General features: G+C 58.2%; 3 long non-coding RNA genes across 3 annotated transcripts, besides 1 other annotated feature; 2 read left to right on the top strand and 1 right to left on the bottom strand.

The window, feature by feature from the left end:
- The first annotated feature begins 5,526 nt into the window (after positions 1–5,526).
- Positions 5,527–10,666, top strand: LOC107987039 (uncharacterized). Its single transcript, XR_001746583.1, has 3 exons — positions 5,527–6,209; positions 8,011–8,130; positions 10,332–10,666. It is a non-coding gene; the product is annotated as an uncharacterized LOC107987039 (long non-coding RNA).
- A 2,785-nt stretch (positions 10,667–13,451) lies between these two features.
- LOC101928384 (uncharacterized) lies at positions 13,452–14,660 on the bottom strand. The gene is made up of 2 exons (XR_244779.4): positions 14,387–14,660; positions 13,452–14,193 (listed from the first exon to the last, which is right to left on the bottom strand). It is a non-coding gene; the product is annotated as an uncharacterized LOC101928384 (long non-coding RNA).
- Positions 14,661–15,069: 409 nt separating this feature from the next.
- LOC107987137 (uncharacterized) lies at positions 15,070–25,363 on the top strand. Its single transcript, XR_001746962.2, has 3 exons — positions 15,070–15,892; positions 15,991–16,937; positions 17,972–25,363. It is a non-coding gene; the product is annotated as an uncharacterized LOC107987137 (long non-coding RNA).
- Positions 19,251–19,320: an enhancer, noted in NCBI's record as "active region_29274". NCBI's record gives its function as "activates an Ori minimal core promoter by ATAC-STARR-seq in GM12878 lymphoblastoid cells {active_cell/tissue: GM12878}" and the evidence as "EXISTENCE:reporter gene assay evidence [ECO:0000049][PMID:35858748]".
- Positions 25,364–25,742: the final 379 nt, after the last annotated feature.

Raw genomic sequence — 25,742 nt, 5'->3', positions numbered from 1 at the left:
ACAGCCGCCGCACCTTGCCCACAGGGACTTTCTAGAAGAGAAAACGCACAGGAGGTAGCGAGAGGAAAGGCTCCTGACGGGTGGCGGCAGGCGGGAGAAATGGGATCTTTCAAAACCATTAAGGCTGGAAGTGCCAGGAGAAAGGGAGGAATCACACAGCTCTGCCTCAGAGGAGGGTCTGGAGGCCCTAGAGACACAGCGATCCCATCCTGCTGAGGAATGGGCTGCACCGGAGTGGGGGCCGCAGAGGTGGGTGGAGAGCCAGGGCAGCTGCCAGGGTGGGCTTCTGGTGGCACCCTGTGGGGGTGAGGACGGCGGGCCTGGGGCCCTCCCCGCTTCCAGGAACCGGTTCTCTGCCCATTCTGGTGTCTGGGCCCTGTGTCTCCCAGTGTCACAGCCTGGGCTGAAGGAGGTTAACAAGATGCTGACACCTGGGCCGGTTACTTTCTACTTAAGCAACTCTGGAACAGCGAAGTCTGCCTTCAGCCCGAGGCGGAGTGCCAGGATGTGAGAGGCGGCCGTGGCCGTGGGCAGGGGCAGGAAGCCACGAGACCAGGCAGTGCCCTGTTTCCCGGGCACAAACTGGCAGGGAGCAGGGCCAGAGTCGGCATGGGTTGCCCTTCCTATTTCACAGTGTGGGTCAGGGGTGAGAGACTCAGGAGCCCAGAAGGGGCGGAACCCACCCAAGTCCTCACGGTGGTCAGGTGGCCAGGCAGGGCCCGAAGCTAGTCTGCCAACTGCCTTCCCAGCTCTCATCTCATAGAGAGGTCCAGGGGTCCTTGAGTAGCCCCTGGGGGGCCAGAGCACAGTGACCACTGTGAATCCGCTCACACATGCAGGGGCTCACCACACCCAGGCTCTGTGGCTTCAGGGACCCTCAACCCCGCAGAGCCTCCTCCCCTGCCGATGGCAAATCCTCACAGCTTGAACCCTCAAGCGAGGGCAGCCCCACTCACAACTGCTCTAGGAGCAAGAGCCCCAGGAGGAATCTGGTCTGCGTCTGCCTCGTACTACGTGCTCCTCCAGGCCCGGAGTTAAGGATCCTCTGACAAATAATGTCATAAAAGACCTCTCATGAACAGAGAGAGCCCCTCTCCAGTCACATTTCCCTTTTTGCCCTGGCTGCCAGGAAGCTCAACATTGCACTCAAGTCCAACCACATGGTCACGGCTGCTTGTTTCCTCACCTAATCCTGCCCTCTGGGGTTGGCTCTACTTTTCCATCTCCTACGTGTCTTCCTGGGATATGTGTGTTTCCCTGAAAAACCTCCTCAGACTTTGGAGGACCATGGTGAATTCAATATTCATTTCCTTAATATCAACTGCGGTGGAGCTGCATCCACAAAGCTAGTGTCCAAATGGGCCATGAGCTCAGGAGGCAGCAGGGCCCGGGGGAGCAGGAGGGGGTGAAGGGAAAGGTCTGGGGCTCTCGATGGCGTTGCTGGTGAGCAGCACTGGGGGTCAAGACAGGCCATTGTCAAGGCTGGAAACTGGAGGGGGGTGGGGGATCGCTGGGCAGGGGAAGGGGCTCCAGGATGATGCCATGTGAGACAGCCAAGACAAAGGTCGCTTCTCCAAATTTCCAACAAATTACCAACAGCCCCAGGGGAGGGCAGGAGGGGAACTGGGTCTCAGGCAGGCAGCCCCTCCCCACCCAGCAGCTCTGCCTTCCCGGGGAAGCCGGAACCCCCAGCACGCAGGGTCAGGCAGCCAGGCCCAGCCCCTTGAGATGTTCCCTCCACCACCTCCACTGAGGCCCTGCTGCAGGACAGAACTTGTGCTGGCCCTGGGGACAGGGGGGTCAGCTGGCCCTTGCCAAAGCGGAGGTCACCTGGGGAGCAGCCGGGGTTTGCCTCATGAGCCCCGTGTGCAGGGGCCTGTCCCGCAGCCCAGGCCTTCAGCAGATGGGAACAGTAAAGAAGTCCCCACTGCCCCCATAACCCTGGCCCTGCTTCAGGGAGCAGCCAAGCGGAGGGTACCCGGGCAGGGCAATCTTGCCAAATTGAGGTTACAAGGTAGTAACTCGAGGCTGTCCTCTCTGCAATCCCCTCAGCATTCTGCCAGGGTGAAAGGCAGCCTGTCCAGTCACCCCAGCGCTGGTTCCCAGCCTCCAACCCTTTAACGCTTCATTTCACCGGGAGCCCAGTGTCAGCGGCCGGCAGTCCCTGAGGGTGGCAAGAGACCGGCCTGTTGGCCTCTGTCCAAGCCCCCACTGCCCCCTCTGAGGTGAGCCCAGCTGGCCCTTTAAGAAGCTGGGGCCACTGCTGGCGCCGCTTGGAGATGGGCACGTTCCTGATCCTTCTGGAAGGAAGGCTAAGTTGGAGTGGAGACAAAATGTTCTTGCACAGCTCGGTAAACAAGCAGAAAGTGTTTTGAAAGCTTCTGCCGATGCAGAGCACTGTAAAATAAATGTGAGAGTTGCAAAAGGAGGCTCCCAGCTGCCAGGGTGGGGGGCGGCAACAGGGGGCACGCAGGCTGCCCACAGCCCCACCGGCATGTGTGCCCCATACCATGGCCTCCATGGGCAGATGTGGTGTCTGCGGGCGCACGTGTGTGCACGCTGTGGAAGGGCCCCAGGTCCGCCTGTGTCTGCAGGTTGTCTGCACAGACGCAGGGCTCCTGAGTGCGGATACAGCCCCTCCCTCCTCACCCTGAATCTTCCTGGAACCAGCCAGGAGGAAACCCTGATTAACGTCATTCTCAGCCGGGGCTGCCGAGCACCCCCAAGGATAGGAAGGAGCCGGGAGCCCAGCTCTGCAGAGAGCTACCAAAGGGTCAGTGGAGAATGGGACCCTCATCTACACAGCTGCACGGAGCCTGGCGAGCAGCACGCTTTGAGGGCAGAACCTCATCACGGGGCGGTCCTTAGCTCCTCTAGGACCACTCCACCCCGTAATGATGGTGCTGAGGGCACACGGAGCTCCCCTGGGGATCGGCCAGGCACTGGGGAGGTGTGGCCTCCATGCAGCACAGATGCCAAGGCCAGCCTTAGTGACAGGGACCAGTCCCGAGGCCAGATCAGCCCCGGCACCCTCTGTCGATCTGGCGAGTGGCTCTACCCTCCAAGGCCCAGTGTCGCCAGCTGTTGGGTGGCCTCCCCTCCCAGAGTCTGTGCCGCCAGGCAAGGTGCCTGGCACTGCCCGCATCTATGGCATCAGCAGGGGCATCAGGTTCACCCTGCCAACCTCCTCGAGTCCCCCTGGCCCTAAGCCCACCATCATTCACCCAGCAACACCCATGAGCCTCGGAGGCAGCACCCCGCGTGGAAATGGCCCTCGCCCAGGGACGGGCAGACCAGGACCTGCCTAGACACCTGGGAGGTGTCGAGCTGCGGGGAGAAACACACGCATGACCAGGGAGCCACAGCAGAACATTGGGCCCGACTCGGGGTGGGGAGGACAGGAAGGCTCCCCAGAGGGAGAAGCATGGCAGGAGGTAAAGTGAGAGGTGGAGTGGGGACTGGACCAACAAGAACTGGGACTGGAGCTGCACCAAGCACACAGTAGGTGCCCAGTTAATGCCTGGTGAGTGACCGAATGGACCCTATGAGGCAGGAGAAGACCGAACCCTAGAGAGAGGGTGTCCCTCCAAGGTGGCAGGTGGGAAGCTGCAGAGCAGGATGCCCCCATTTTTGCCTGTCCTGACCTAGGCCCTGCCCTGCCTTCGTGGTTGGGAAGAGGCGGATCTAGCTGGGAAGGGCAGAGCCCTGGCCCCCAACGGCCCGCCGCTCCCTACATGGGGTAGACGCCTCCCCACGTCTGAGCTTATAACCAGTAGCGGGCTCTGGCTTTGGGGCTGCCGCGAGCCAGAGGGCACTGGAACAGCCAACCCCAGGACCCCAGCCGAACCGTCGGGGGCAGCCCCTGGGGGCACAGGAGCATCCTCCCACCTGGCTGCAGCGGGACACGGCCCAGTCAGAGGCCCAGCTGGGAACTGGGTGTCGAGCCAGGGCCAGCCAGTGTTAGGATTGCCAGGCTGTCCACCCCTCTGGCTCCCAGCGACTGGCGGGGGACTCCACAGCCGGGCTGAGCTCTGGGCACCTGTGAGCCAAAACCGCTCAGAAACCACAAGGCCAATAAATCCACTTTCTAAAGTGGCCAGTGAGAGAGGGAGGCACTGCGGTTTGGGTTCTAGCAGCCCCAGCCCACTTAAAGCACCAAAAGGCCTGGGGTTGGGGGGTGTGCCCTGACCTGTCCCCAAGTCCTAAGCCTTGGGTGGACTGCGGGTGGTAGGAATGCAGTAAGGACCCTTTCATGTGTCCAGCGCTGTCCTGGCCCTCAGAGGCCTAACACCTGGGCACCTCTCTTCCCAAAAGGCAACGAGAGCCTTGTTCCAGCCGGTGGGGGGTGGGCTGAAGCCACGAGATGAGAAAGTGGCACAGCCATGCCAACCAGACAGCAGTAGGACCCAACCCCTGGCCCACACCATCTTCCTCCCACAGACCAGGTGTTCACAGGACAGGACTGGCTGTCCCTCCGTCCCTCAGCCCACAGTGCTTGCACAGCACCCTAGACCTACCGTCGCTGGGTGCCACAGACCCCATCGCCCAGGAGCTGGGCCCCACGACACCAGGTGAGGTCACCTAAACTCATCCAAGGTCACACAGTCAGTAAAGGGACAGGGCTTTGAACCCAGGGTCCCAAGAGCTAAATCTCAGGGACAAAGACTCAGCTAAACCCCCCACAAAAGGGGAGAAAGGAGGAAGGGGGACAGGGACCCAGCGTGGAGTGGCAGGGAGAGGGGAGGTGGGTTCGGCCAGAGAGCCAGGGGTGTGCTTGGGCATGCACAGGAGGCAGGGTGGGCATTGGCCAGGCCCAGCCGGCACCTGAGCTCCTCCCTCTGCACCTGTGAGAGGGGTTCCTTCTGCCTCAGGGCACAGCCCCAGGTCCTGCCCCACCCGTCCTCAGAAGGCCCCGGCAGGGTGGTCAACTCCTCAGCCATTACACTGGACATGAAGGACTTTGTGAGGCTGGCGTCCCTCCCCAAAGCCATGCATTCGCCCTGCAGAGGGAGGAGAAGGTGCTCCCTTTGGGGAGGGGGCCCCAGCATCCCGGGGTGGGACTCCAGCAACCCCCACCCCTTGCCTCAAATACCCAGCAGAACCCTTGCCTTATAGAAGGCGGGCCTTGCTCAGGCGGTGGACCCGCGGGGAGAAGGGTAGGGTGCTCAGATGCCAGGGCCTATGAGAATGAACACTGACGCGTGGATGGATCCTGGGGAAATTTCTCTAGGCAAAGACCCCCAGGGGGCTGCTGAGGGAGAGAGAGGAGAATGAGAGCGCTGAGCCAGAGGGGCGAGGTGGGAGGCGACAACAGAACGGCCCTCCCAGGACCCAGTGGCATCCCAAAGACAGAGCAGCCAAGGGCAGGGGGTGGGGTGACCCAGGCCATCAAGGAAAGAGGCCACCAGAGAGGCCGCAAGACCCGGGGGCGGGAGTGGGAAGTACATGTTTGTCCCTCTTCCAGCCCGCGGCCGTAAGTAAGGCTGCGAAGGGCCAGGCTGGGGAGAGGCTGCAGTCGCCTGGATGGGGGAACCTCTGTGTGCCTCAGTGTCCTGCTCTGTATAGCCCCCACCCTTGCAGCACGGACCTCGCAGGCTGCTGGGAGGCTCAGGCAGGCTGTGTAGTCTCGGTGCTGAGCCTCGGAGCGCTGGACAGCCAGACTCTCCCTCCCAGCCCCCATCCAGACAGCCGGGGCCTCCCTGCCTGCTCTCCCGCAGGAGGTGAAGGCAGGCATAGGCTAACCCCACCCAAAGGGGGTCCCTGCCCAAGTGGCAGAGTGGCACAAGTCCTGGAGTGGCAAAATTTTGAAGAACAAGGCATATTGAGCAGGCTTGGCAGGAGGCCAGGCAGGTGCGAAATCAAGGCTCAGGAAGTCTCTCGGTAAAGATGGGGTTGGACCTGAACCAGGATTCCTGAGACCTCGGACCCCAGGGCCCTTTCCTCGGGAAGCTCTGACAGAGCTCCCTCCGCAGGGCTGGTGCTCCAGGAGCAGCTTCCAACGCTCTGGGCAACCGAATGCCTTCCACTGCCCCAGAGTGTGGTGCTTCAGGGTGCCCCTGGGCTTAAGGTTTGATGTGGCTGCACGCGGGCAGGACCTCTTAGCCATCAAACAGCCACCCAGCTAAAAGGCAGAGAGCAGCGCCACAGGTGACCCAGAGGAGACGCCACTCCCCAGAGGCCGAGGAAGACTCCAAGACTTTTTTCACAGGGTGAGTGGTCATTTAAGTGCTCAGGGCCCTATGCCCATCTCTCCTACCCCAGTTCATCACAGACTCCTAAAAGACAGGGGCTAACCCACGATCCCCTTGCCTGACAACATTCCTGGGCCCCCACTTACCCCAGTGAAGGTTTTGAGGCATCTCAGCTCACCATCCACAGGCTCCACCACCCAGCGCTGACCCTTTCCCAACTCAGCTCCCAAAACAGATGTCACAGCTCCTCCTCCCAGGGCCCCTTCCCAAAGACCCCCAAGACGTTCAGCTTTACCACAAGGTACCCCCCAGTCTGTGCCTGCCCCTCCAATGACTCACCCCCCCAGCACCATCCCCCTGCCCACTGCAGCTATGTCCAAGATGGTCTGGGTGAATTTTCTCGGTCACATATCAGTATGTATATGGGGCTCTTAGAAGTCACCCCGTAGCTGAAGGCATGGAGTTTCAGGCCAAGGAAGACTTCTGGACTTTGGATCAGCCGAGTGAACCTCCACTGCCCCACTTGCCATGTCACCTCCAAGTTCCCCCAGTCTCCCCTCCCTTCTCAGAACCAAGGCCTTCAGGGGGACAGTGACCCCACCAGCCCCTTAGAGAGTTGGTGGCAGGACTCGTTTGAGATCCCTGGGGTCTGGACGGCAGGCAAGTCTCTGCTCCCCTCCCCCGTGAGGGGCTACGACTGGGGAGCTGAGCACCCTCTGACCCCCAGAAGCGTTCCTGGGTCGTGGGACTCCAGCAGTTGTCTGGCGAGGGCAGAGAGGGGTCTGGGAGTGGATCCCAAGGGTCTATCACCAGGCGGGCGGGAGGTCACTGTCCTGCATACCAGGCTAATTGGGGTCTGGCAGAGTGCACTCTCAGACAGCAGGCCTGGATGTGTAGCCCTGCATGCTGACCTCCCCCGCCACGACACACACCCCAAAATCCAAATTGACCCAGCTCCATCCCACCTGGGCTGCCCCAGGAGGCCTCTGAGCCCGGCCCTTTCCCAGCCAGGAGGCACCAGGGTGTCTGGGAGCTTCCCACCCCGGGATGTCACAACAGGCAGGGGGCTGGGCGGCCAAGAGACACGCACGCTCCAGGGGCTCAGGAGGAGATGGGGGCTGGCCACATAAACAGTGACAGTGAGCCGTGGCTGCGCTTATCCAAACAGTGGATGTGAAAGCCCAGCTCCCAGCAGACAACGTCTCCCCCACAGGAATCGCCTAACGGGTCTGTCGCAACGGTTTCAAATTCCCGCGCCACCGGCCCTCCAGATGCTGCTGGGGCCAGGCCTCCCAGTGGAACCGACTCCCCAGCCCCCTGCCTCCCAGCCCCCCTGGAGCTGCCAAGGTTTGGGAGACTATGGCCCCAGAGCAGGGGCTGAAATGTCAGGTTCCTCTGGGCCATGGGGCAGAATGGAGCTTTGGACTCAGGGCTGGACCATTTCTCGTTTCCAGAAGGGTCCCAGGAAGGTCATCTGCTTGACCCCAGGAAGCAGGAAAGACTCCTGGGTGGCTTGCGGCCTGGCAGCCCTCCCACAGGGTCGGGCCATGAGCGGGGACCCCCCTCTTCCTCACAGCTTGGTGGGCCCTTGGGGAGCAGGACAGGTCTTAAACCTGCTCCCACCAATGCAGCTCCGACCTCAGGAAGCCCCCAAGCTCATGATCCTCTTCCGGTCTCAAACACCCTAGCTTCTCCTCCGGGTCACAATGCAGACAGGCCACCATTAAACACCACTTCCCCACTTTCCTCTCTCGAACAAAGGGCAAAACCAACCCCACTCCTCTCTCTGTCACTTACCAGTCTTTCCTTTTGTCTACAGAATCTATTTTTCCCTAGTCTTCCCACCATGACTGAGCGCTTTATAAAGCACCATTAGATATGACCCCATCTCGTCTCCAGGAACCCACCATGAAACAAGTGTCATCACCACATCTTACAGGTGAGGAAACTGAGGCTGGGGGAGGTGACAGGACATGGCCAGGACCACAGCCCAGAGCCGCAGCGTTTGCTCCTGTGAGCACCCATCTGCCTTGCTCTGAGGGAGAGCCAGGCTCTGCCCCTGCCCACCTCCCACTGCCCAGCAGAGCAGCATCTCCTGCCTCAGACTCCTTCTGACTGGCCAGCCCGGATCACCTGGTTCCAGTGGGCAGTGGACCCGGCACAGGCAAACAACCCCTGGGGGCAGAGCACCCCGTCAGACAGACTCACTGTGGCCTGAGCCTCCCTGTGCCTCTTCAAAAGGGGGAGGCGCTTATGCAGGTGTGGTTCTGCAGGGGGAGGCGCTTCTGCAGGTGTGGTTCTGCAGGGGGAGGCGCTTCTGCAGGTGTGGTTCTGCAGGGGGAGGCTCTTGTGCAGATGTGGTTCTGCAGGTGGAGGCACTTCTGCAGGTGTCGTTCTGCAAGGGCTCAGGACAGCTGTCTAGGGAGGGCTGCTTCCCTGTAACAGTCCTTTGGCTGCAGGGTCAACCTCAGAGGTGGCCCCCACCCCTAAGGGACCCCCAGTTCCTCACTCACTGCCCTGGTGAGGGGTCCGCCATCCAGGGGCTTCCCCTGGGCCTTCCACCTCAGAATCAGATTTTCCTGGGCCCCGCTCAGCCTCAGGCTCACCAAGCCCCCCACCTCACATGGGGAGGCAGGAACACCCCAGACTGGTGCCCAGGGGTGGGTCAGGCTGATGGCTCATCAGTCACGTGCCCTGGACAGCCAGAGCCCTCCCTGGGCCTCAGTGCCTTGTAAACAGGAGAGGGGCCTAAGAAGCTGGTGTGTGACTGGGTTCTCAGTGCATTGATGGTGACAGCACTGTCCTCTCGGGAGGGCTCAGGTCCCCATGTTCACTCGGGCCTCAGCCTGGCTGCTGGGCTCCCTGCCGGGTTCTGGGTGGGCAATGCCGGTCTCTGGGCCCGCACCTGCTACTCAATTCATGTCATGACCGTGGGACCCCAAGCAGAAGCCAGAACCTTCCAGAAGTTCAAAGGTGAGCCACCCCATCAGAAAGCCCTGCTGTCCAGCTCCACCAAGTTCAGGGGCCTGTCCAGGACACCCGTCCACCTTGGGGCCCTCGCTCTGCATGGAGCACCAAGGCAAGTTAAAAGTTTTATTGATTGAACACGAGTGTAAGTAGTAAAAGTTCTCCTGATGTAACCCACTTTTTCTTAATGGGTAATCTCAGACACTCGAGTTTGTGTGGTAAAGGAGGTTTAGGACAATTTAATAGCTCATAAAATTTTATAGTCCCAGTTGAAATCAGAGTGCTAACTCCAGCCTGCTCAGCGATAGAGCTGTCGTTTACTAAATGCCTCTCATCTATTTTTTTCCCTCATTTATTGGAAAGTTAACATCTGCTCTGCTATGGTCGGGGCGAGGGGGGTCGGGAGGAAGGAAAAAACATGATCTATTTTTTCCAGAAGAAAGGTAAGAGATTCGGGCTCTCCTGGCAGCATCCTCTCCCAAGCACATGGTTTTCCTTTAAGTCAGAAAAAGGTTCAGTAAACTGGGGCTGACCCAGAGTTCACCGAACTCCACAGCAGGCGCCGGTCCCCCATGGTGGCTGCTGAGAGATTTGAGTCTATCCAGGCCAAGGCCATGTCCGGGGATCAGCCAGAATCTGGTAGAGTCCATTAACAGTCATGCCCTGGTAATTTATGAAGCACCTACTGTGTGCATGGTCGGGGGTGGGGAGGGGTGCAAAGAAATAGGACACAAGCTCACCAGCTCCTGAGGAACTTACCCTCGGAAGCTAAAACTTCAGAAGCAAAGGGACGAGGGCTCCGGGAAGAGGCCGGGGCCCCAGGGGTGTGTAAAATGCAGGCACATGGAAGTAACGGAGCCTGGGGTTCTGCCTGCCATGCTCACCAGCAAGTCCCTGACCTTGGAGAGCCTCAGCGTCCTTGTCTTTCAAATGAGAACCACACTGGCGCCTACATCGTAGGGTCAGCGTGAGGATAAAATAAAGTATGGAAAACAGCCGGTAGCTGGAACTTGAGACATGTTACCAAAAAGAGAGAGATTGAGAAAAACAGTTTGGCAGTTCCTGAAAAAGTTAGACATAGAATCAGCCTAGCGCCCAGCGTGCCACCCCTAGGGTTACAGTATGCCCAGGAAAATTGAAAACTGGCACCCAGGCAGCTCCACATACACACAGGTTCACAGCAGCGCCATTCACCGCCACCAAGAGATGGAAACATCCAGAGGCCCTTCCCCGGATGAAGGATAAACAGAATGTGGCTCATCCTCCTCCCTGCTGTGGAATGCGATTCAGCCATGAGAAGGAGCAAGGCACTGACACAGGCCACAATGTCGATGAACCCTGGAAACACCATGCTCAGTGAAAGAAGCCGGACATGAAAGGCCAGTCTGGTGTGATTCCATTTACACGGAATAACCAGAACTAGTAAATCCCTGGAAATAGAAAGCAGGCCAGGTGATGTGTGGCTCGCGGCTGTAATCCCAGCACTTTGGGAGGCCAAGGCAAGCAGATCACTTGAGCTCAGGAGTTTGAGACTAGCCTGGGCAACATGGCAAAATCCATCTCCACAAATACAAAAGAATTAGCCACGCGTGGTGGCGTGTGTCTGTGGTCCCAGCTACTCAAGAGGCTGAGATGGGAGGATCGCTGGAGCCCAGGAGGTTGAGGCTGCAGTGAGCCAAGATTGCACCACTGTATTCCAGCCTGGGTGACAGAGTGAGACCCTGTCAGGAAAGGAAATGAAAGGAAAGGAGAGGAGAGAAGAGGAGAGGAGAGAAGAGGGGAGGGGAAGGGGCAGATTGGTGGCTTCGGGGGATGAGGGGTGGACAGTGAGGAGTTGACTGCTCATGGGTATAGGTCTCCTTTTTGGGGATGGTGACAATGTTTTGGAACTAGATAGAAGTAGTTGTACAACATTCTGAATGAACTAAATGCCACTGAATTGTATACTTTAAAATAGTTAATTTTATGCTGTGTTAATTTCACTTCAATAAAAACAAATGCTTTAATGAAGGAAATTCAGACACACAAGCATGATACACGGAATGCCCACTGGGCCAGCCCCAGACACCGTGCCTCCTTTAACCCTCCAGGCTGTGCCAGGAGCCATCGGCTCTCTCTCCAGCTGACAGTGGCAGCACAGAGGCTGGCAGGCCAGTGCCCAGTGGTTATGGCCGGCGGGAGGATGGGGGGTCAGGTTGGAGCATCTGTGAAGTGCAGTGGCGAAGCCTGCCTCCTGGGGCTGCAGGAAGAGCTAAATTAAGCTGGAGATCATCGATGGGGGGATGTGTTATAAACGGCTAAGGGCGGCTCGAACAAGCTCTCAGGTATGCTGGCCGTGGATGCCAGACAGTGACTGCCATGGGATCCAACCTGCAGGGGCTGGGGCAGAGCTGCCACCTGCCCAGGCTTGCAGGGGGCCTACTCCTCTCCCCATTGTCCTCCAGCTATGCTGTCCCCTCCTGACTTCTCCAGATCCCTCCCAAACTTCCCACTCCAAATTTCCCCCGGTGAGTCAGAGCTGCACAGTACATAGCAACTTGTCCAGAGAGAAGGTCTGCCATGGCCCAGGGCCACAGAGGAGGGTCCCAGACACACATGACCACCAGTGAGGTGGATCTCAGGATCCCTCTCAGCCATTAGCATCCCTGCTGACCAGCTGCACCCCGTCCCGGCCTCCTGGGCTTTTGCCCACCTCGGTAACAGGATAAAAAGATGTTAGCCGAGGCAGCGGATCACGCCCGTAATCCCAACACTTTGGGAGGCCAAGGCGGGTAGATCACCTAAGGTCAGAAGTTCAAAACAAGCCTGGCCAACGTGGTGAAATCCCATCTCTACTAAAACTACAAAAATTAGCTGGGCGTGGTGGTGGGTGCCTGTAATCCCAGCTACTCGAGAGGCTGAGGCAGGGGAATCGCTGGAACCCGGGAGGCAGAGGTGGCAGTGAGCCGAGATCATGCCATTGCACTCCAGCCTGGGCAACAGAGCGAGACTGTCAAAAAAAAAAAAAAAAAAAAAAGATGCTGAGACCTTTGCCTCCTGCCACATGGCAGCACCCATGCATGGTGAGGCAACACTGTCAACAGACCTCAGGTGCCAGAGCACAGGTGGAGCGAAGCCAGGAGAGAAGCACAGAGGGACCGGTATTGCAGTTCAGTGGCTGCCGGGGCTGTGGGGGTTCCGAGGCTCCAGGAGCTGCGCTGTGACGGACTCACCACGTTTGTTTCGGACCAGGTTGGAGGAAGCCTCCAGTATTGGGAACCTTGCTTGACTGGCAGGAAATAGGCCTGCCACAGAACCTGCAAACCTTCCAAATGCACACATACCCTTTGGGGTGTACTTACCCCCCGGAAAAGCAGAGAAATATCACAGAAAATCTATGCATTTCTTTCCCACCCATGATGATGCCTCATGAACAGAACAAGAGAGATTTCCAGAGCACTGGCCTTTTCTCAGGGTGGGCTCACCATTTTCTCCAAGGGGCCAGTTAGTGGGGTGGAGTTCTGTGGGGTTGTTTGTTTTTTTTTTTTCTATTTTTTAAGAACTGTTTAGGTTTACAGCAAAACTGGGAGGAAGGTACAGAATTCCCATATACCGCAAGGGGCAGGTCTCATGGGTCCCTGGCACCCAAGTCTCTGGTGAGGGTCTAGCCACTGAAGGGCAGGGCTAGACGGTGGCCAGTGGCAAACTGACCAATAGCTGGCACCCTCATCCTATTCTCATCTGTAGCTACAACAAGGGACAAATTTCCCCAAATCATGAGCCCACATGGAAACTTCACAAGCTGTCGAGACAGCAGCAGGTGTCTGCGGCCCTGCCTTCCCCCGGAGCCCTCTGCTGCCCACCCTGCGTATCAGACCCCATCGCCATTGACACATCCCCTTGGGGCCTCTTCCCAAAGCCCTCGGTGGCGTTGAAGTTATCCTGGGCCTTTGCCTGGCCTATGTTTATTTTCTCACTCTCCCACCACAATGCGGCTGCCATGGGACCGGGTTCTTACTCACCCAGCCCCCCACGCATAGCGCCCTGGAACCCATGTGATCACTGTTTGTTGAATGACGACTGAATATTGAAATGGAAAACACTGTGTTCCAGACACCTGAGTTAGAAGCCTAGCCCTGCCCCTCGGTTGTTCTGTAACCTGGTGCGTGTTACTTAATCTCTCGGAACGAGGAAAACACCACCAGGGTACACAGACTGGCACTGTGTCCCCAACGCTCCTGCTCACCCACGAACCTGAGAGATAAAATGACTTTGTAGGGGGTCTCCATACCCACGACACTCCCAAAGAGAGAGGGCGCAGACAAGGCCTGTTTATTTCACTCGTGTGCGCCCTCAGGAGAGGCCCAGGGATGTTGGCACAGGTGCATTGTGGGCCCCGAAATAATCAAATTGCAGAAGGAGAGAGAGGGGGAGAGAGCGGGAAGGGTAATTGAATATCGGAGCGGAAGCTATTCTCAAGTCACCCATTTCATGGTTCTTTCTCCTGTTTATGTTTTCTAAGAGATCTCCAAAATAAAATAGTTCTATTATTTTATGACTCATAGATATACGTTATAGTGATAACATATTACAGCTACGGCAACGATGCTTATGGAATGGCCGCTCCGTGCCGCGCCGTAGAACTCTGCAAGGTGAATCTCTCTCTCTCTCTCGCCTCACAGCTCGGGAAGCCTCGGCTCTGAGAGGCCAGACTCCAGCCACGCCATCCAGACCACGGGGCCACGGGGCCACGGGGCCAGCTGAGCCCGCAGTCACTCTCCTCCTCTGCTCCTCCGCCTCTAAAAGGTCCTTTTCAGACGCTCAGGCACTCGCAGGCGCCCCTCTTTCATCATGGTTAGGCGCCACATGCTTTTCATCTCCAAGTCTGGCTACTGCAGATGCAGAATGAAAAACGAGCCAATAACACAGCAAACCCGGGCAACTCGGCACGAAAGGCAATAACCGTGGTGAGGGGCCAGGCGGCGATTCCAGCCAGACAGATGAGCGGGCGTCACGGGCTCCAGGTGACGTAGAAAGGGCACAGAAAGGTCTCACCCTGAAGGGAGAGAACGTGGGGCAGGGGCTGGAGCGAGTGTGGAGACCCGGGTTCCAGCTCCCTCTCTCCTCGTCCTGCCAGGGACTGGGCCGAGAGACTTGGGCCCTCTGCCCCTCGGCTTCCAGGTCTGTCAAATGGGGCAATAGGAGAGTGCTGACAGCCCAGGGCTCCCCTGAGAGCTTTAAGAACACACCTGGAAAGTTCTAGCGCAAGGTGAAGACCGTAAGAATGTTAGTGGCCGCCCCATCTGTGAACTAGGCACGGTCCTGTAGATCTCAAATGGCCACCTTTCAAGTGAGGACAACACGGGTGGTGACGGTGCCGGGAAAAAAGAACGCACGCCTCGGCCGTGAGGCCTCTCCGAGAAAGGGACAGGCAGCAGTGGCACCGCCCACACAGAAGCATGGTCACCCAAACTCAGGCAGGCAGGTCAGGTGGGTCCCAAGGGCTCTCAATCCTTGCTGAATGGTAGAGTCACCTGGGGAGAGACTCTAAAACATTCCTGCCCAGACACCACCCCCAGAGACTGGGATTTTACTGGCCTGAGTGTGGCCCGGGCAGAGGATGCTTAGAACCAATCCCAGTGGGCCGGGCGCCGTGGCTCACGCCTGTAATCCCAGCACTTTGGGAGGCCGAGGCGGGCGGATCACGAGGTCAGGAGATCGAGACGATCCCAGCTAACACGGTGAAACCCCGTCTCTACTAAAAATACAACAAATTAGCCAGGTGTGGTGGTGGGCGCCTGCAGTCCCAGCTACTCGGGAGGCTGAGGCAGGAGAATGGCGTGAACCCAGGAGCCGAGCTTGCAGTGAGTGGAGATTGCACCACTGCACTCCAGCCTGGGCGACAGAGTGAGACTCTGTCTCAAAAAAAAAAAAAGAACCAGCCTCATGTGTCCGGCTGGGCTGAGAACTGCCAGCCCAGACCGCCTGACACCTGTGCCCCACAGGGCACCCTCCAGTGGCTCCCACCTCTGTGCCTGCCTGAAGGGGCCTCAAGGCTGCAAAGCACCCCAAGTGGGTCAGCCACACCCAGCCTAGCACAGCCACCTTGTGAGGGCTCTGCCCAAGCCCCACAGCCCTGCAGCCATCTGTGGGGAGCTACTGATCACCCAGATGTGATCTTGCAGATGCACAGAAGACCGGGTTTCCACCACCCTGAGCCAAGGAGGCCTCTACCATGGAGAGAGGCCATCAGAGACCAGTGTCCGGCAGCGCCCTGCCTGGCCCCAGAGCCTGGGGCAAAAGGGAACGTCAGGACCACCGACCCTTTTCCTCCAAAACTTCAATATTTCCTTCCTCATAGATATCTTGCATTCATTTTGCATTAACTTTATTTAAAACATTGCATTAAAACATCATTTCTGCCTCTCTCCTCACACTGGTCCCACCCTGGCCTCTCTGTGGGATGTCCCTGCCACCCTGACCCCTCTCCAGCCCTCCAGACACTGATGGCTGCAAGCTTTACATGGGTGGCCCACCAGGCCCTGCAGCAAGTAACCCTCCTGCAAGCTCCTCCTGTCCCCAGAGTGTCTGTTGTCACCAGGACACATCAAAATGGCTGAACACTAGGTGGCTCCCCTCCCAAGGGGCATTTTGGAACTTCAGGAAGGGCTGTTTTGAGTTGTCACAATGACCTTCAGTAAATACACAGGCCAGCCCTGCAGGTAACTCTGTCCCTGGTCTTGCCAGACGTTCAGGTAAGCAAAGAGGCTGCTTATAATTACCTGAGCTAGAACCTTAGAAAATATATCCTGGGGATCTTTGCTGCACAGTTAATCCTCGCTGGCTTTTCCAGGAAAGCATCTCCTGTGTCCATTGAAGGGAGGACACGTTGCTGCGTTTGGAACTTGACCACCTGGGAAAGTCACATCACAGGTACATGCTCAGCTGCTGGAGTCTGGAACGCCAGGCCTGGCCCGTCCGCATCAGCCATGGGGGCTGGCACGGGGATAAGATGACACAGGCATGCCTCGGGGGGGCTTCTGGGCTCCCCTTGGAGACAGAGCCAGGCCTTTACATATTGAAAAACATATGATTTTATCATACAATTTCCCTTTAATTCCTCCTCCATATAACAGGGCGTTATATTGACTCTTGCAAAATTGTGTGTGAGGTGAGTTATCTCTCAGCTATGATTTTCTTTTCAGATGGTACAGGGAGTGCCCCTGGCCTGAGGAGGGTGAGGATGAGGGGTCGTCAGTGGCCCAGGATGCCCCTCACCTGGGAGCATTACAAAATGCTGGTGCCCAGGCTGCACCCCAGGATACTGATATATGTGGTCCAGGAGCAGCCTGGGTTGGGCTGGGGGCATTCTCCAGAGCAGCTGAGGTTAGGAGTCCCCGGGCCGGATGCATTCAGTCCCATCAAGGAGGTTATCTGGGCGCTCTCAGCCTCCGTTTTCTCATCAGCGAAATGGGAATGATGAGACGGCCCAAAGCCATCCACAGACATTGGGAATGGCTGCCTTCATTCCTTCATTCTCCCTCCAGTTCTCCTGACCTGAAGGGTATAGGAGCTGAAAGCCTGCGCCTCCTTGGGACAGCCTACCCGGGGCTCCCCATTCCTCCGTTGTCAGGGAAAGTAACTCAGTTACAGGTGGCCAATCTAATGTGGCCGATAGGATAATTGGCCAATAGGATAATAGGGCCCCAGCGTACGTAGTAGTTGTGTGTTACCAGGGCCATGGCAAAGGCCCGAGATTCTCAGGGAGGAGAGGACACATAGAGGCTGCTTTACCTGCAGGTAATTCCCGCAGAGGGCTGTGGGAGGCCCTGGGGGAGAGGCTGGGAGCCAGTCTGCAGGAAAGGAGGGAGCCGGCCCTTCTCCGGAGCAGTCCTGGAATCTCTGTTGCTGCCGTGCAGGAGGAAATGGGAGTCCCAATGCTTACTTAGCCAACGACCTTTGAAGGCATCTGGCTAGAACGAGAGAGAAGCCGAGGGGCTGAGCGGCTCTGAGGTGCCACTCCTCGCCCTCTGTTCGCCCTCCCCCACATGGCTTAACCTTTTTGGTGTTGGCTTGTTTGTGAGTTTGGTGACACTTCCCCAGCTGTTATGTCAATGGAAGCAGGGCTCCTCCTGACAAGAGTCCTGCCTTTCAGCCCAAGGACACCTCCCAGTCCCCCCTCGAGGCCCGCCCCGCTGGCCACTCTCCCCCAGGCCAGGCAAGTGCTGGGGAGGGCCCCACTGTTGTCCACGGGCAGCCAGGCCTGTGAGAGAAGACCCCCATCCTGAGAGCCCTTCCTGGGCTCCAGGCCCAGCGAGGGATGAAGGGACAAACGGCGTGAGGTCCTCTCCCGGCTGTCACGGTGAGCGTGGAGCCGCCTCTGCTTTCTCAGCAGAGCCCAGCTGGGCCCGTTGCAGGCTGCTGTCTGTGTCGCGTGCAAAGAAAGAGCCCTTTCCAGTGTTTTATTTACATACAGCACATTACATACAGGAAAACGCCGCTTCTTCATCCACAGCTCTGGGAGGTTTGACCAATGCATGCGGTCACGTAACTGTGACCATAATCAAGATATAGCACACTCCATCCCCACAAGGAGCCCCACGGCCCTGGCAACAGCAGCCTGAGCTCTGTGCCGACAGCAGAACCCGACTAGCACAGCCTCGGGAGGCAGCATCAGCGGGGCAGCTCCGGCGATGCACGCCTTTTTGTCACCGAGTAGTATTCCATTGCAGGGGTGGGCCTCAGCCTGTTTATTCAGCCCCAGCTGAGGGACATCTGGGTTGTTTCCTGTTTTTGCTTAGTCAGGTTCTAAAAACTGGTTTCTCATCCCACAGCCACCAGCTCGGGAACAAAGATCTTTACAAATGAGCGGCTGTGCGCTGACATCCGGGCGATCATGGAGATCCCCGGGGGTGAGGCTCAGGGACCCCCAGGCACCAGCACATTCTCAACCCCAGGCCATCTGGCTCCAAGCTCCTGCCCAAAGTTGGCAGGCTGGGGGCTGCTATGAGGCCCAGCTGCAGCCAACTCCCTAGAACCCTGGGCCGTTTATAAGGGAGTGACAGAGGCCTGCGGTCTTGAGGACGCCCGAGGAGGGCTGCTGCCCCTCTGAGCCCCTGAGCCGTTGAGCCCCCTCGCCTCCCCACATGGGTGGCATGTGAGGGCTGCTCCTGCCTTCCCCCAGCCCCTCCAGGGGAAAAAGAATGGAATGACAGGGTGCCAGCTAGTGATGAGCTGAGCCCAACCCCAGCACAGGGCCTGAGTGGGACTCAGGGAGACGATTACGGGCAGCATGCAGCTGTTTCTCAGCCCTGTCGGCCATGGCCCGAGACTCCCTTTGTTCCCGAGGGAGGGGATGGCTGGGCTCAGGGGTGGCCTTGTGGGTGGGGGCTCCTGGCCGACTGCCTGCCCTTGCATCTCCGCTGCCCGCCAGCGAGGAGATCACTCAGGCCCTGATACGATCGCTTCGGGACAGGCGGAAATTGGAATGTCCCGGGTGCTTGATCGAGGCAGCTTTTGAGCTGCGGCCACAGGGACATTAGAAGCCAATGTAATGGCCTCATTCAGCTCCCCTTGCAGCCCCGTGACCTTGGACAGGCTGAAAGCCTGTGTGCTGTTTTGATGAAAAATCAGGAGTTAGGGAAGTGAGGGAGGCTGGCACGAGGGCAGGGTGGCTGGGCAGGAGCTCTGGTGTGCTGCTGTCCGTCTGTCTGTCCTCACTGGCTTCAGGCCACCTGCCCCCTACGACGGGCCATCCGTCCATGCTGGCTCCCTGACAACAGAGCCTGAGGACCCCAAAGGGACAAAGAAATCCCCACCCCAGGTGACCCTGGGTACAACCTGTGATAAGGAGGCTGGGGCCTCAGCTGGGGAGGGGAGGGGCTCTCACAGGACAAAGGGACCCCCCCCACCTGAGCTCCCACTGGGGCCTCAGTCTCCCCATCTCCAGTAGCTCAGCCACCTCCGCCTCCCCTAGTGGCATCTGAGGGCGTCAATGGAGCACTGCTGTGTGTCCCCTGTCCACAAGGCCCCTGCTGTTGGGCTATCACGCAGCCCCTCTTCCAATGGAAACCGAGGTGACTCACCCCAGGCCACACTGCACAGGATGGGACAGCCCCTGGCGGGCCTCCCCTCTGCTACTCAAGCCCCAGGCTCTTGTGTAAAGACAGCCAGGCCAGGACCCTTCTCCCACGTGTCCCAAGTCCAAAGTCAAGAAACCTTGTCCACCCCAAAACCCTGCTCAGCTCCTGGGGCTGGCACTTCTCGGCCAGCACCTGCCCAGGCAGAGCCCATGAGGCCAGCCCTCCCCTCACTGTCTGCAGCTGCCTCCAAACCCGTTTGACAAATCGGCTCTGATGAATAGTGCCTGGGCCGTGTCGGAGCATCTGGGGGCTCACAGCCCTCCTTCCCTCCAGGGCCCTGGCTGAAAAGCCAGCAGGGTCTACAGCCACGTGAAAGGCCCACAGAGGGGCCACCCCCTCACAGACACACACAAAGGCATTGCGACCTCAGGCTGACCCCAGCCTTGAACCAAGAGCTGACGGATATGGGGCGGGGCTGGGGGCTGCCCATCACTCTCCCAAGTTGGGAGAGGGGTCTTCCTGTACTGCCCCACCCCTCCCCAGAGGTGCAGGAGGCATTGCCCAGCAGACCTAGGAGATGAGGGTGGGGAGAATTCAGATAGGATGGCCCTGTCACTGCTTCCCCTCCCCCAGGCCTAGGATTCTGTCCCGGGGCTGAGTCTTCTCCCAGCCTGAGCCCCTTCTGTTGGGCTCCTCCCGCCCACATAGTCCAGAACCAGTGGATGGAGCCAGCTGGAAACCAGGTGGGCTCCCTGAGGGAAACTGCCTGGGAACCTTTGCTCTCTCTTGGCTCTGCTCTGTTCTCCACTGGCCCCTCCTGGACCTCCCCTGGGATTCTGGAAGGAAGGGCCCCTCCCCAGATGGATCAGACCCTCTTGTCCCAGTCTTGGGAACCTCCAGGCCAAGCTTCCACTCCCTGAGCCGAGTGTCCCCTTATCAGCATCCTGGGCAGGCAGGAGCAGGCAGCCCCACTCTGAGGTCAGAACAGGCAGCCCCACTCTGAGGTCAGGATGAGGGAAAACAAAATGCACACTGGTAATAGCCAGTGGGCACAATGCTCTTCCCAGAGGACAAGCTTTTCAATATTGTAATTCTCACAGCAACCCCACTCAGCAGGGGCTGAGTGACAGCCCAGCAGCAGGGGCCAAGTGACAGCCCAGCAGCAGGGGCCATGTGGACAGAGGACACACAGCAGCACTCCACTGACGCCCTCAGATGCCACTAGGGGAGGCAGAGGCAGCCGAGCTACTGTCTGACCTGAAGTCAGACAGGTCCCACCTTCCACTTTCTGGTTTTCCTACTACTTCCTGTTCCTTTTTAGAAAGTGACGAAAGGTCCCTTTTCCATGATGGGAATATTGAGGCATGAAGGGTTAAATTGGCACCCCACCTGGCCCTGTCTACCACTACTCACATCCCATGTCCCTCCTTATCCCCTCAGGGGCCCCTCACTCAGTACCACAGACACCCTCACTTCTACAAGAAGGCTTGGATGGTTCAATCCCTGTCCCCAGAGACGATGAGCCCTAGAACCCTTATCTGTGTATCCTCCTCGTTCTTGTTCCCAGCATGTTGCACACAACCTGCATGCAGTAGGTAGTGAAAAATGCTGACCTACCAGGCCACTCCTGGAGTTGCAGAGGGACCACCCTGTAGTTGAGGCAGAGACCAGGTTCTCACATGCTCCACTGGCCCAAGAAGGGAGGAAATGGGGGCCAGGAGGTGAGGGAATTCCCTTTACCACATGCTCCCCAGGGCCTGGCTGAGCCGGCTGCTCTATCTACACCTCCCCTCATAACTCCTACTGGTGAGTCAGATGGTCTCCCTTGGTTAGGAGAATGAGGCCCAAACAGGTGAAATTACTTGAGTTTGATTACTTGGGAGCTAGAGGCAGCCCTGGAGTTTGAGCCCCAGGTTTTGACACCACCCCACACTGGCTCTCGTGATACCTGACACATAGTAGGTGCTCAACAAAGGTCATAGGACAGAAAGCCCCTGAAGACTATTACAGCTGCAAACACTGCCCCTCGCCCACCCCAGAGGGCACATCCTCCACCAATCTGCAAGGGCACCAGCTGCCCTTGCCCTATGTATTCATGGTTGTTCAAAGCCCTGTGGGGTTTTTAATCATCCCCCATGTGCACACAGGCGTGATTTATAAAGTGGGTCTTAAACGCCACCGCCTCCAATCAGCAGATGAATGCAAGGTCTTGGCAGCATCCACTGGGCTGTGCATTTGGTCCTGAATAAGTCACCCTTGACAATTCCTGCCATGGTGCCAACAGCAACAAATGAGACATGTCATCCCCTTTGCAGGGGCTGGGGGCAGTCACACCCTTGCCAGGCCAGAGGGCAGTGGGATTGTGGCTTCTAAGGGTCCTGGAAGGACAATGACATTGCTGCCCACAGTGGCCGTGCCATGTGGCCTCCTCCACAACCCCAGCCAGGTGGACTTGGGGTATGAAGCCAGTGAGGGCAGGAGTGCAAGGCTTGGGTGAAGCTCTTGGGGGTAGGAGCAGGGAAGAGCAAGCCTCAGGTGCAGGGGGGCAGGGAGGGTGGGAGAGACTTACACCCTCCCCGTTCTGACCTCAACCCTCCTTTCCACTCCAGGGTGCCTCCAATGGCAGCCCCATCTCCCAGCCCTGAGTCGCCATCACTCCTCTCTTGGGGCCTCCCCTGTGGGCTACCCTCTGCCTTCTTTCTCCACAGCAGCTAAAAGGCCAGGGAGGAGGCGTTAGATCTGGAGGCCAGACTCTGCTGATGAGCAGCTCATAAGTGATGGCATCTCTTGGCCTCAGTTTCCCCATCTGTAAAATGGGTGCCTATGCTACGAGGATGTGGTATGTTTTCAGTGAGGCACAATAAGTAAGGCAGTGGCATGGAGCTCAGGGAATGCCCCAGCACCCCACCTCTCGGCACAAGCCACCCGAGCTCTCCTCCTGAGGAGAAGGGTGAGCCCCTGGCTCCCGGCTCCACCGCCTGGACTTCTCTCCAGCCACCAACCCGAGTCTCAGCCCCCCACCCCCTGCAGCCTTGGAGGCCGCTGGGCAGCGGCTCTGGCTCACTTCTGCTAATCCATAGGGCCCCATGGGCCTAGCCCTGCCAAGTTCAGGCAGCTCCAGCCCCAGCACCCCCAGCAAGGGAGGCCTCCGTGGAGCTGCGGCCTAGTTGGCCACACACCGTCCACGTGGTTGGGTTGGTTTGTGGCAGAAAGGCTGATGGGCCAGAACTCAGAGGGGAACTGGAAATCTCCAACCAGCGGGACGAACTGGCTCCAACGTGGCCAGGAGAGGTCCCTCGGGGGCCCCTCTAGTGCGTAGAGACCCTGCCACACTGGTGTGGGAGGTCCAGGGCCCGAGTAACACACCCAGTTGCTGTGGACCTGGGAGCCGAGGTTCTGAGCTCTTCGCCCTGCTTGTCCCCCAGTGTGTGCCAAGACTTCCCTTGCCAAATAATTTCCCAAACAGGTTTTCAGAAGAGAGTTGGCAGAGAGTGTTCTGGCTGTGTCTAAAGGAGACAAAGGAAAGCGGAGAGTCAGCATTTGCTGGGGCTGCTTTGACCCCAGCAGAGCATTTTGGCCCCATGAATGATGATTGCAATGTGTTCATGGGTGACATGATGAAGAAACTGGGAGGGCACTGAGACTCGGTTTCCAAATCCACTGGGGGTGCTCATTCTGGCTGCTGGGGAGCCTCTGCGGCGGAGGCAGCAACTGGGGCCACCCTGGGGGCTGTGGCCCTTCAGCGCCAGGGCCATGGTCACAGCGGACAGCCTGGAACCCCAGCCACCAGCCTCCATTCCCGGGGCCTCTCGGAGATGAGGTTTGTACCAGGGACTCACAAGCCCCCTCCCCAGCCTGGGCTCTGTTGATGACAAAGTCTTCCCCCGCCGATGCTCAAACAATAAGTTTGATGAGCAGTTCTGCACCCTGAGTCCACGCAGCTGCCCCTCTCCGAGTGTGTAAATGTCCTTCATTTTAGGCAGTCCTGGCGATTGCAGTCGGCATCTGGAGATGTGGTTGGTTTCCTTGAGTGTCTGTAAGAATTGGCCACTCTGTTAGTCCTCAGATGGCTCCCTGGGCTTGGACTAGACTTGGGCTGGACTTGCTGTAGGGTTAGGGTTAGGGTTAGGGTTAGAGTTAGGACCAGGGGATCCAGGTCCTAGCAAGCAACACGTGTTCACTGGAACTTGCTCAAGGGCAGGAGAGACTGGAAATGCCTCATGAAGAAAGGCTGGTGTAGGGGCCACCCACCGTCTCCACTGCCGGCAGCTCAGGGGCGCCAGGAGATGGCCACCATTTTGTCCATGGGAACCTGGGATCCTCGTCTCTAGGCCCATTAGTGTGCACCCTGGCATACATCGAGTGGGGGTCTTCCCTGCCTCTGTGCCCCGCCCCCACCTCTCTGACTGCTGCTTAAAGCACTCAGTGGCAGCAGGCTCCGGCCAGCATTTGAAGTGAGACCCTACTCCAGGGCTCAGGGAGGCCAGGTCGCTGGCCAGGGGCACAGTCACCAGGGGACAAGAACTGATCAGTGCACCCCCCACCAAACAATCCTCAGCCCCGGGCGCCCCGCTGTACGGGGCCGTGAGCCCTGACACCTTGGGCCTGAGCCCCAGAGTCAGATTCGTTTTTCTCAAAACCCACGCCGGGAGACCCAATCCTGGAAGGGGACCAGTAGAAATTCTCTGCAGCCATCACGCATGCTTGGCTGAGCCCCCAGCCCCACAAGGCAGCCCTGCCACTCCTCCTCCAGGCAGCATGCTGGGTAGCCAGTCTCCCTGAGCTCCCAGGCAGCTGGGCCTCAGCTCAGGGACAGGGACAGGGACGTTTCCCCTGGAGGCTTCCAGGGCCCAGGACCCACCCCTTGTGGTGCATCCTTCACATCCCCAGCTCAGAAAGTTCTTTCCCAGGGAATGCCCACCCAGCCCAGCCTCAGGAGCTCTTGCCCACGCCTCAGCTCTGCGTCGCTCTTCCTGCAGTCGGAAAGCACAGGCTCCGTGGACGCAGAGGCCACTCCTCATGCCCTACACCGTCCTCCTTTCCTGTGCCAGTGACAGCGCCACCCCCTGACCCGCCAACTCTCAGGTAAGTCACTGAGTCACTAAGCACTCGAATCATCTCACCAAAGCTGGGGACAAAGGGTCTTTGTCCTGCTTCAGGAGACAATGTCCCAACACGTTGCCGTCCCCCAAATGTCCCCAAGCCACGCTGGATGTCTCACCTGTGTCCACCAGCTCCAGTTTCTCACTCATTCAACAACTCACCTTGAACCTAGACGTAAACAAGATGGAGCACCATCTTGTTCATCGTGCGGCCCCTGGTGTGTTGGGAAGACAGGTTGGGAGGACGGCAGTGGTGGTGGGGAGGGGTTGCTCCCGGAAGGGATGAGGAGAAGGCAGTACAGTGCCCCTCGAGAATGGAGTGGGTTTGGCAACACAGAGGTCACTGGAGACCTTGGTGAGACCTCTTTTGATGCTCAATGCTCCACTGGTTTAGTGGAGCTTCCAATTCCAGGAAGGGAAACTGACAACTCATTAGTGAACATGAATATAGTTTCTACACAGCAAATCGAACAAGTAAGGGACTGGGAACAGTGGGGAGCAGGTGTGGGGGAGGGCAGGACCCTGAGGAGGGGACACATGAGCTGAGGCTGAATACAGTGAGGGTGGGGACCCTGAGAATAGCTCGGTGCAGGGCGGGCATTACAGGTTAGGGAATGGCGAGTACAAAGGCCCTGGGGTGGGAATGAGCTACACGCTGGACCCAGGGAACCTGGCAGAACACAGTGTGGCAGGGTGCCCAGGAGGGTGTCACGGGGTTGGCAGAGCCAGATGGAGAATGGGGGCTATTTAAGGAATGGGAAGACGGGGGAGGTCAGGTTTCCGGCATGGACGTGCTGCTGTGAGCTGTTGGCAATTGTCCGATTCAGCCTGTAAGCTGTTGAGACGCTGAGGTGCTGAGTGGGCGGACAAACATCTGGATCGCAGGGTGGAGGTCAGAGGATCGCAGGATGGAGATCAGAGAGGTCAGAGCTGGGTAGACGCATGTGGGGCTATCACCATAGGAATGGCATTTAAAGGGACTGGACTGTCGGCCGGGCACAGTGGCTCACGCCTGTAATCCCAGCACTTCAGGAGGCCAAGGCGGGCGGTTCACCTGAGGTCAGGAGTTTGAGACCAGCCTGGCCAACATGGTGAAACCTCATCTCTACTAAAAATACAAAAATTAGCCAGGCGTGGTGGCACACATCTGTAATCCCAGCTTCTTGGGAGGCTGAGGCAGGAGAATCACTTGAACCTGCGAGGCGGAGGTTGCAGTGAGCTGAGATTGCGACATTGCACTCCAGTCTGGGCAACAGAGTGAGACTTTGTCTCAAAAAAATAAAAATAAAAAATATAAATAAATAAAATAAAGGCACTGGACTGGGAGGATCCTGGGGAGGGGTGTAGATGGGGCTTAACCCAGGCCCTCCTGGGTGAGGAAAAGGCAAAAGAGCCATGGAGAGACACTGAGAAGGTGTGGC

The sequence above is a fragment of the Homo sapiens genome, chromosome 9 (assembly GCF_000001405.40).
Source record: "Homo sapiens chromosome 9, GRCh38.p14 Primary Assembly".
Lineage (NCBI taxonomy): Eukaryota > Metazoa > Chordata > Mammalia > Primates > Hominidae > Homo > Homo sapiens.
This window is presented reverse-complemented; position numbering and strand designations above follow the sequence as displayed.